Consider the following 11,613-nt stretch of genomic DNA (forward strand, 5'->3'; position numbering starts at 1 on the left):
TGTTTACCATCTGTTAGCCATGCTTTGAGTTGTTTGAACAAGAGAATCAGTGTCAGAATAAACTTGCTTGTAGGGTGTCTGGAAGGCAGGTGCGGCCTGCCACTTCTAATGCAAGCTGAGAACAAACACGGCATACTGAGCCCAAATCGGCCTTCTGCTGCTAGAGACAGAGGTAGAATTTATGTTTTGCTGGGATGATACCCCCTAATGTGCTGCCTTACCTTGGGGCCTTAATTAGAAGCAGCAGTGGCCCTCGGGCCTGCTGAGCTTCTATTTGATGTGATTGCACAAAAGAGCTGAGATGGAAAACTAGAACTTTTGTTTTTTCACACATTCTAAAAAGCTTTTTCATAAAAGCCCCTTTCTTGTTTCTTGTTTGCTGTCACATGCACCAAGATAATTTAAAAAAGATTTATACAGGGTAAACAATTGGTAAAATCTGTCTTTCCCTTGTTTGTTCTAGTATTATCAGGTTCAATTTATTTTTTCTCTGCCCCACCTCCTCTTCCTCGCAAGGACCCTCCCATCTGCAGCCACCTCCCATTTATTTACCACTGCCTCCCTGTGGGTCCCTTTTCCTTTTCCTTGGGTCTTTCTAGAGCTATCCTAGTGTTTAGTGTTGAAAGCTTGAACGTTTAAAAAAATATTCAATACAAAAGTGAAAAATATCCACCTAAAATGTGGGTGTTTTAATTTCATAATTGCGCCCCTCTGAATTGACCTGATAAATGAAGCTAAAAAGCTGTGGAGATGTAATTGGCTTGCTTTATACCCATAGAAGCAATGGAGGACACACCACAGGCTGTTAGACACCAGCAGTAACCTGTATGAAATGCATAATAAGGAGCAGGAAAGAGATGTGACTATGTTCCTGGATCTACCACGTGTGTTGTGTAAATAAATTCATGATCTCAGCCCAGTGGCGTTCTTGGCTCAAAGCAAGTCCTAATTAACTGTCTACTGTGTGGCACTTCCTGCATAGCAGAGTAGCCTTACCCTTGGTTAACAGGAACCTCATAAGAACTGATGTTTTCTGACATATCAAGGGGGTCTTGCACCTGGACTTGTGGAGCTGTGTTAATCAGAAAGATAACTCTCGTTGTTCTCTGTCTTGACGTCTCTGGGCTTTCAAATTGTGGCTTATTCTTGTTTGTTTTTGAGGCAGAGTCTCACTCTATCCCCAAGGCTGGAGTGCAGTGGCACAATCTCGGCTCACTGCAACCTCTGCCTTCCGGGTACAAGTGATTCTTGTGCTTCAGCCTCCCGAGTAGCTGGGATTACAGGTGCGTGCTACCACGCCCGGCTAATTTTTTTGATTTTTAGTAGAGACAGGGTTTTGCCATGTTGGCCAGGCTGGTCTCGAACTCCTGGCCTCAAGTGATCTGCCCTCCTTGGCCTCCCAAAGTGCTGGGATTACAGGCATGAGCCACTGTACCCAGACTTGTTAGTTTTCAAAATTCACTTAACTTCCTTTAAGCATAAAAGGGAATTTATTGGAAGAGTCCTGGAGTATCACACAAAACCCAAGGCCAAGAACTACAGCCAGAGCTACGTGAAGGCCTGGAACCACGAAGTGAGTGCAAAACCTTCAAAAACCTATTCAAGAGGTTATTTCATCCTCACTTTTCTCTCTCTGACTCTCTCTCGCTTGGTCATCTGGACTCTGCTTCTTTTTCCATATTTGATCCCTGCTGCTTTTTCTCTGTAGATCAGCTTTCGCTTCCTTGGCATGAGCAGCGACAAACATGGTGGCCACAAAATGGTAGACTTTGCTGCCTAGTTTGATGGGGAGACTTGAGGATGTTCCAACACCCAATAGTTGGTGGATAAGCTGAGAAGACTGGGTTAGGAAAGTTGTGACATAGGCTGTGGCCAGGCCAGAGTCATGTGGTACCATTCCTGCTGTGGTTCATTTTAGCAGACAGGGATTTGGCTGTTAAGAAAAATTATCTCAGATTTGGACATAAGGCAAAAGGAGGGCCTTGTTTCTTTCAATGTCATGTTGGAGTGGTGTTTAATCCCTTCAGGGCTCTTTTTTATTTTATTTATTTTTTATTTTTTTGAGACTGCTGTTGCCCAGGCTGGAGTGCAGTGACGTGATCTCGGCTTACTGTAGCCTCCACCTCCTGGGTTCAAGTGATTCTCCTGCCTCAGCCTCCCGAGTAGCTGGGATTACAGGCGCCCACCATCACACCCAGCTAATTTTTTGTATTTTTAGTAGAGATGGGGTTTCTCCATGTTGGGCAGGCTAGTCTCGAACTCCTGACCTCAAGTGATCCGTCTGCCTTGGCCTCCTAAAGTGCTGGGATTACAGGCATGAGTTACCGCCCCCAGTCCCCCTCAGTGTTCTTTAAGTATCCAGGGGAATGTACCTTTATTTGACTCACTTTCAGTCACTTATTAAAGGCCCTGACTCTGTGAAATTACATGCTAACTTGTCGACCTTTGCAGTAGAGATGCAAATAATTTCTTTCTGGTAGGAAAGATAACCAGACATTATGGTTTTAGTTTCTAGCAGCACACAGCACATGAGCCAGTTTTGTATCTGATTTAACAATCTTATTCCAGGCGGGGCACAGTGACTCATGCCTATAATCCCAGCACTTTGGGAGGCCGAGGCAGGCAGATCACTTGCGGTCTGGAGTTCGAGACCAGCCTGGCCAACATGGAGAAACCCCATCTCTACTAAAAATACAAAAATTGGCCAGGCGTGGTGGCATGTGCCTGTAATCCCAGCTACTCGGGAGGCCGAGGCAGGAGAATGGCTGGAACCCGGGAGGCAGAGGTTGCAGTGAGCTGAGATGGCGCCACTGCACTCCAGCGTGGGTAACAGAGGGAGACTCCATCTCAAAAACAGAAAGTGAAAAACGAAAAACAAAAATCAAAAACCTATTAAAAAAAAGGAAAAGATAATCATTAAATTCAGGATAATGGTTAGCTTTGTGGAGGGTGGGAGGGTATAGTGAATGAGAAGGAACACTCAGGGATTTTCTAGGGTACAGGCAATATTCTGTTTCTTGAAATAGTTGATAGTTACTTGAAAGCTCTTTTTTTTTTTTTTTGAGATGGGGTCTCTCACTCTGTTGCCCAGGCTAGAGTGCAGTGACATGATCACAGTTCACTGCAGCCTTGACCTCCCTGGGCTCATGTAATCGTCCCACCTCAGCCTCCTGAGTAACTGGAACTACCAGTGCATACCACCATGCCCGGCTAATTTTTGTATTTTTTGTAGAGACAGGGTTTCGCCATGTTGCTCAGGCTGGTCTTGAACTCATGGGTTCAAGAGATCCACCTTCTTTGGCCTCCCAAAGTGCTAGGATTGAAAGCTCATTTTAAAATAAATCATGGACTATATGTTGTTTTGCATAAAATAAAATACTTTTATTTGTAAAATAATAAAATACTACGTATCTAAATTTGTGAGATGCAACTAGAATGGCATTTGGGGGGAAATTTATAGCCTTAAATGCTTATATTATAAAATAAGAATGGCTAAAAGTCAAGGAACTGAGCATCTAAGATGTTAGTAAGAGAACATTAAAATAACCCAAAGAAAATAGAATAAGGAAAACAATAAAGACTTGAGGAGAAACTAATGAAATAGTAAACAAATATAGGCTAAAATATAAAATAAAAATGATTAATACAAAGAATTAGTTCTTTGATATGAGTAATAACATTAATAAACTTCTGTCAATATTGATAAAGATCTAAAGAGAGAAGACAGAAAGTCAATATTAGGAATAAAAAAAGGAGCAGGTAGCAGATGCAGCAGAGAGTATAACAATCATAAAAGACTACTGTAAACAAATTTATGCCAATAAAGCAGAAACAGGAGAAATAGAAAAATTAACAGGAAAATATTAAAGCTGATTTATTTATTAAAGCTGTTTTAAAATTAAAAGAGAATTTGAATAGTTCCATAATCATTAAATACGTGACTAGTATAACTAATCTTTCCATTAAGAAATTGCCAGCCTAAATAGTTTTAGAAGAAGGTTTTATCAGACTTGAAGAAACAGGTTACTAATATATTACACAAGCCCATGCAGAGAATAGAGTAGAGGAAATGCTTCCCAACTGTGTTGATGAAGCTAGTAAAAAAATTTCCATACCAAAAGCAAATAGGTACAATATGAGAAAGGAAAATTATAGGCTGATCGTACTCAAGAACCTAGATGTGAACATCCTAAACAAAATATTAGCAAACTGAACAAATAATATTTACATATAAAAGACAACCAATCATGACTACACTGGAAAGAGGCTTATCCTAGAAATGGAAGACTGATTCACCACTTGAAATCTGATATACTTGACCATATTCACAAGTCAAATGAAAAAATCCACATGGCCTTCTCTCAAAAAAAGCAGAAAACTGTTCAATAAAATATCAATTTATGAAAAGGACTTTTAGAAAACCAGGAATTAAAAAAACTGAACGTGGTAAAGGACATCTATATACATACAATAACTTATAACAAACACTATACTTAATGATGAAATAGAAAAAACAGGAATAAGACAAGAGTTCCTACAAAAGACCCCAAATAGCCAAAACAATCCTGAGCAAAAAGAGCAAAGCTGGAGGTATCACGCTACCTGACTTCAAAATATACTACAAAGCTCTAGTAATCAAAACAGTGTGGCACTGGCATAAAAACAGACACATAGGCTAATGGAACAGAAAAGAGAATCCAAATATAAATCCATGCATTTACAGCCAACTCATTTTCAACAAAGGCACCAAGAACATGCAGTGGTGAAAGGACAGTCTTTTCAATAAATGTGGCTGGGAAACTGCATGACTATATGCAGAAGAATGACACTAGACCCCTGTCTCTTACCATACCCAAAAATCAAAATGGATTTAAGACTTTAAGACCTGAACCATGGAACCACTAGAAGAATACATTGGAGAAACGCTCCAGGACATTGATCTGGGGAAAGATTTTTGTGTGTGTAAGACATCAAAAGCACAGGCAACCAAAATAAAAAGAGACACTTAGGACTACATCAAGCTACAGTGCTTCTGCACAGAAAAGTAAACAATCAACAAAGTAAAGAGACAACCCAGAGAACATGGGAAAATATTTGCAAACTGTCCATCTGACAAGGGGTTCATAACGAGAACATATGAGGAGCTCAAACAACCCAATTGCCAAAAAAAAAAAAACCCAAATAATCGGATTTTAAAATGGGCAAAAGATCTGAACAGACATTTCTCTAAAGAAGACATACCAATGACCAAACAGGTATGTGAAAAAATGCTCAACATCACTAATCATTGGAGAAATGAAATAAAAACCACGAAGAGATATCATCTCACCCCAGTTAAAATGGCTTTTAGAAAAAAGATGGAATAACAGATACTGGTGAGGATGTGGAGAAAGAGGAACACTGTTGGTAAATATGTAAATTAGTACAGCCACTATGGAAAACTGAATAGAGGTTTCTCAAAAAGCCAAAATTAGAACAACCATCAAATCCACTACTGGGTATATATCCAAAAGAAAGGAAATCAATATATTGAAGAGATATCGGCACTCCCATGTTTATAGCAGCACTATTCATAATAGCCAAGATATGGAATCAACCTAAGTGCCCATTAATGGATGAGTGGATAAAGAAAATGTGGAGATACAAATATATATATACACACACAATGGAATATTATTCAGCCATAACCAAGCATGAAATCCTCTCATTTGCATCAATATGGATGGAACTGGAGGACATTATATTAAGTGAAATAAATCAAGCACAGAAAGACAAATATTGCATGTTCTCACTCATATGCAGGAGCTAAAAAAGTGGATCTCATGAAGATAAAGTATAGATTGGTGGTTACCAGAGGCTGGGAAGAGGAGGGCAGGGAGATAAAATGGGGGGGGAAAAAGAATATTTATTTATTTATTTATTTATTTATAGATGGAGTCTTGCTCTGTTGCCCCAGGCTGGAGTGTAGTGGTGCAATCTTGGCTCACTGCAACCTCCACCTCCCGAGTTCATGAGATTCTTCTGCCTCAGCCTCCCGAGTAGCTGGGATTACAGGCACGTGCCACCACAGCCATCTAATTTTTATATTTTTAGTAGAGACAGGGTTTCACCATGTTGGTCAGGCTGGTCTGGAACTCCTGACCTCAAGTGATCCACCTGCCTCAGACTCTCAAAGTGCTGGGATTACAGGCATGAGCCACCTTGCTCAGCTGAGAATATAAATTTATTACCACTGAACTGTACACTTAAAAATGATAAAGATGATAAATTTCACATGCACATTTTACCTCAATAAAAAAATAAGATTAGAAAGAAGTTAAAAATTTAAAAAAGAAAGTCAAGGGCTTCTGCTTTCACCCTTCTTAATCTATAATAAAGCAAAAAAAAAAAAAAGGTTTACAAGGTACAAGCATTAGAAAAGAAGACACAAAACTTGTTATTCATAGATGATATGATTTTTGCATAGAAATATAGATAATTTGTTAGAGTTAATGAGAGTTTGGCAAGTTTGTCAACTATAAGCCCAATATAAACAAGTCAATTGCATTTTTATACACCAGTAACATTTGGAAAATGTAATTAGACAAACCTATCATTTACAACAGCAATAAAAATGTAAGGTACCTAGGAATCAATCTAATAAAAATGTGTAAAATCTACACCGGTAAACTTGTCCAACTTTATTGAAAGTCTGTAAAGAGGACATAAATAAATGGAGAGTTCACAGTCTTGGAAATTGTGTCCATTTTTCCAACTTTGTGCTCCAGATTTAAAGTATTTCCAATAAAAATACCAACATGGGTTTCATGGTAGTTGGCACGCTGATTCTAACATTTATGTGGAAGAGCAAAGGTCCAAGAATAGCCAACACAGTCTAGAAGAAAAAAGGACACAATGCAGGGATTTGCCTACAAGCTATTAAGTCTCATTATAAAGCAATAGTATTTACGACAGTAGGGTATTAGTGCGAGGATAGACAAAAAGACCATTGGAACAAAATAGAGAGGGAGGTACAGACCTAAGCATATTTGGAAACTGGATAGATGACAAAAAAAGCATTAAGAAAAGTGGGGAAGTGCTAGACTATGTGATAATTATCCACATGGGAAAGAAATGAAACTGCAGTCCTATAGCACTCCAAGCGCAAAAATTAATTCTAGACTGATTAAGGACTCAAAAGGCAAAGGCAAAATACACTTTAAGCCTTTTGGAAAAAACAGACCATCTTTAAGACCTCAAGGTAAGGAAGGATTTCTTAAACATGACACAAGCATACAAGCCATCCAGGAAAAGACTGATAAATGTTGCTACTTTAATTAAGAACTACCACAAGACCCTATAAAAAGAGTGAAAATTTAAAGCTCCAAAGAGGGAGAAGATATTTGTATCACAGATGAACAAAAAAGATCATTACCCAGAATATAAAAATTGTTAAGAAAAAGAGCACATGATATGCAAATAGAGAAGACAGTTATGAATAGGAACATTATAGAAGAGGAAACACAAATGAATAAAGGCATATGAAGAAATGTTCAACTTTATTATTAATTGGGAGAATGCAAATTAAAACAAAGCAGAGATGCTATTTTATACCACCTAACTGGCAAAAATCAATAATTCAGACAATACCAAAGGTGAGGAGCAAAGTACTACTAGTGGAAGTGTAAATTTGTAAAATTACTTTTGGGAAAAAATGGGCATTATCTAGAAAAGTGAAAGCTGCAAAATAACTGCATGACCCAGACATTTCACTATTATACCCCAGAGAAACTCTCCAAATGAGCACCAGGAGAGATGCACGAGAATTTTCATAGCAGAATTGTTGCTAATAACAGAAAAACTGGGAACAACACAAATGTCCACCCAGGAGAAAATGAACACATACATTGTGCTACATACAGTGAAAAATAAATGAATTACAGTTCATGCATTAACCTGGAAAAAAAAAATCTCAGCAACAATGTTGAGTAGAAGAAGCAATTTGCAAACTAATGTAAACCCAGTGACTCTGTTTATATAAAGTTTGCAAATGTGCAAAACCAAATAGGGTTTTATTCAGGGATACATAAATAGATGCTAAGATACTTGGGGGAAGCCTCCTAAGAGACACATTATATAAGGTAGGCTGCTGGATGCACTTTGGGCAAGAGGACCCTTAGCTGCCTTTTTCGGAGATGATTGGACCTGGATCAGGACCCCAGGCATCCTCAGGGAGGCTCAGTTCCACCCATGTTCCTTGTTTCACCTGGGAAGTTACCAAAAATAACTCCACAAAGACCAGCCTGGCTGTCTGAACTCTCCCATCCCAACAGTCGGGGCCGGCTCATAGTCTCTATCTTCATTCTCAGTCCAATGCTGGGCTCCAGGATTGAGCTGGGCCATATTTTAGGCAGAGAAAATGTATGGACCCCTAACTCGCAAATTTGGTGGCTTCACATGAATTTAGTCTCGTGTAAACCAATCACCCTGATTCCAGGGTTCTTTTTTCTTTTTCTTTCTTTCTTTCTTTCTTTTTTTTTTTTTGAGTCAGTGTCGCTCTGTCACTCAGGCTGGAGGGCAGTGGAGCCATCTCGGCTCACTGCAACCTCTGCCTCTGGGGTTCAAGTGATTCTCCCACCTCAGCCGCCCAAGTTGCTGGGATTACAGGCACCCGCCACCACACCTGGCTAATTTTTTGTATTTTTAGTAGATATGGGGTTTCACCATGTTGGCCAGGCCAGTCTTGAACTCCTGACCTCAGGTGATCCACCCGCCTTGGCCTCCCAAAGTGCTGGGATTACAGGCATGAGCCTCCGCGCCTGGGCCCCAGGGTTCTTTTATCTTGCATCTACATTATACTGACATGATACGATTTTTAAATTTCAAAATCTAGGACGTGATGTGAGAGGTGTACCAGGGAACATTTGGGTACAATCAGAGCGAATGTTAGGAAACCTGGTCCCGTCCGTTCCGTAGCCACGGGAAGATTGGCAGGGATCATGTGTCATGTGGGCTGCAGCTGCTTCTGCTCCCCATTGAGTGGAGTCACATGGAGCTCTGGTGGCTGTCCCCCTTCCTTCCTTGCCAAGGCTGTCTTCCCTGGCAGGTCTGCCTGGTCTCTTCCGCCTCACCATCCCCCACTTCCCTCCTTTCCCATCCCCTGTTCTGGTGGAATATTGAAGGGTAGGAGCGAGGATGACTTCTCCATGTTGACTTGGTTTGGGACAGGGAGTGTATTTCTGGAAGAATATTTCTAGCCTGAGCTGCTTTTTCCTTCCGAGTAAGGCAATTTGAAAGCACTGGTCTTCCATGAAAAGTTGACTAAGAAAAGATGTAATTTCTATGAAGTTTGGGCACCTGATTGAAACCGTATTCAATCAAAGGTCAAGGTCCTAACAGTGGTATGATGTGAGATGTACAAACAAATACACACATAATTATGGGAGGGCCAAAATGCAAACACGGACCTGCTTGCAAATTGGTGAGTAGGGAACTGCCTGAGAGAGGCTCATTCGGAGCTTGTGAGTCAGGGATGTTAATAACGCCCGGTGATGCTGTGAGTCCAAAAATAGTGAGCACTAAAGTAGCAGTGAACTTTCAAACTTTTTCTGAGTTTATATGCAATGGTCTTAAAAATCACATAATATAGGCTGGGCACAGTGGCTCACGCCTGTAATCCTAGCACTTTGGGTGGCTGAGGTGGGCGGATCACCTGAGGTCAGGAGATCGAGACCAGCCTGGCCAACATGGTGAAACCCTGTCTCTACTAAAAATATAAAAATTAGCCGAGCATGGTGACACGTGCCTATAATCCCAGCTACTTGGGAGGCTGAGGCAGGAGAATTGCTTGAACCTGGGAGGTAGAGGTTGCAGTGAGCCAAGATCGCGGCACTGCCCTCCAGCCTGGGCGACAGAGCGAGACTCCATCTCAAAAAAAAAAAAATCACATAATATAAAAGTCATCATTGAGTTAAAATATGACAGCATGCTGTACTCATGTTGTCAGGGAGTCCGGTATGGTTGATGTTAAAGACAGTCATGTGAGGTTCCTTCCTCCAAGTAAAGAACCACATGAGGGTGTTTCCTGTAGATGATTCTGCCTTCGCCTTAATGTGCTTCTCCCTACAGTCTCACTAATCTCATTAATTAAGCTCCTTAATTATCTTCCCATCCCAAATCCCAGCTTTCTTCCTCTATTACCCAGTTCCCACCAAGGGAACTTCTGGTTTTTCAGTCAAGTCACAGAAACTTTGGAATCCTCTATGATAACTCTTCCTTACACGTCACACCTTATATCTAATCTGTCCTCCAGGCAGTAATGATTTCTTCCTTAAAAATGAAACACTTGCTTTAACTCTTATTCTAACCCCCACCACTGTAACAGCTTTCGTGGAGAATCCTTGATCAGTCTATCAGCCTCCTAAGAGGCTTTGCTCTAACCACCCTGCATCTCTCTGTCAAGTTGTTCTTATCAAAACACTGCTTTTGTTATGTCCTTACTTAAGAACACAAAATACCTCCCCATTGCCACCTCTGTTCTCCCCTCGATGGCTCTCTACCCATTCAACCCTATTGTTTTGCGGTTACTCATGGTCTGTACTTTCTGTTCTAGTCCGGAGAGGATCTGAATTCTCCACCTCTGCTCACGCAATTCCTCCCTCCCTGACTCAGGTCTGCTTGGTCTTCCTCCTTCTCCTGCTGTATTCTCACTACCATTATCATAATTTGGGCTTTATTGCACAATCTTTCGCCTCTAGCTTACAGCCTCGTAGTCTCAGGATAGTGGTAGCGGGGAAGGAGAAGAAAGGTGGTAGGGGAAGAGAGAGGCTCATTTCTACCCCTGTAATGGGCTGGTCCTAGCCACCTTGCCGTTAGTCCTGTCCCCTCTTCCCACTACTTCTGTAACAAACCAGCTCTTGAACTTCCTTTCTTTGAGACTCAGCTTTCCAGAGAGGCCCCCCAAGAGTCACATTGCACTCGCTTGCCTCCGAGCTCCTTCAGCCCCTGTGGGCACAGGTTCTATGTCTCAGGTGCTTTATGGGAAAACAGGGCGTGCGATTGTTCTCCTCCTGGTCATGCCTAACTGTCCGTGGACCGGATGGTTAAGATGATCCACTTAAAGATTTGCTAGCAGAACTCACATCTCATGGACAGTCCAAGCACTTCCTAGGCTTCCCTAATTAGCCTCCTGCGTTGGCTGATGGCAGAAGGAAACATTTGCACCCTGTTGCCTCCTAAGCATTGGTTGGTCAGATTTCCTCTCTCCCACCTCATCCTTTATGTGTTGAATGTTTGCTGAGCACCTACTTTGTGCCAGGTGATACATTCTAGTCTTTAAGGATTCACATGAATGAAGTGCACCCCTAGCCTTCAAGAGCTTACAGTTTAGGAGAAAGTGGACACGCAGAAGACAATGATAGTACAGGGTGATTAATGCTTTGATAACAGGCACAGGAAATTATGAAGGAACATAATGACAGGCACTCAATGCTGTAGAGAGGAGTCAGAGAAGGCTTCTTGAAAGAGGTGACAACTTTCTTGAATCTTAAGAATGAATAGGGCTTAGGCAGGTGAGGAAGGCAAAATAGTGCTATGGAGTGGGGAGGAAGGTGGAAGAAGACTCCAGCCTTCCCA

At 41.2% G+C, this 11,613-nt stretch overlaps 1 annotated feature.

Moving 5' to 3' along the window:
• Positions 11,026 to 11,208: a silencer, noted in NCBI's record as "fragment chr7:135469316-135469498 (GRCh37/hg19 assembly coordinates)". NCBI's record gives its function as "represses an EF-1alpha promoter that drives an FKBP-Casp9 reporter gene in an ReSE screen in HepG2 liver carcinoma cells and phorbol 12-myristate 13-acetate-treated (for megakaryocytic differentiation) K562 erythroleukemia cells {active_cell/tissue: HepG2 | K562(+PMA)}" and the evidence as "EXISTENCE:reporter gene assay evidence [ECO:0000049][PMID:32094911]".

The sequence above is a fragment of the Homo sapiens genome, chromosome 7 (assembly GCF_000001405.40).
Source record: "Homo sapiens chromosome 7, GRCh38.p14 Primary Assembly".
NCBI classification, from domain to species: Eukaryota; Metazoa; Chordata; class Mammalia; order Primates; family Hominidae; genus Homo; species Homo sapiens.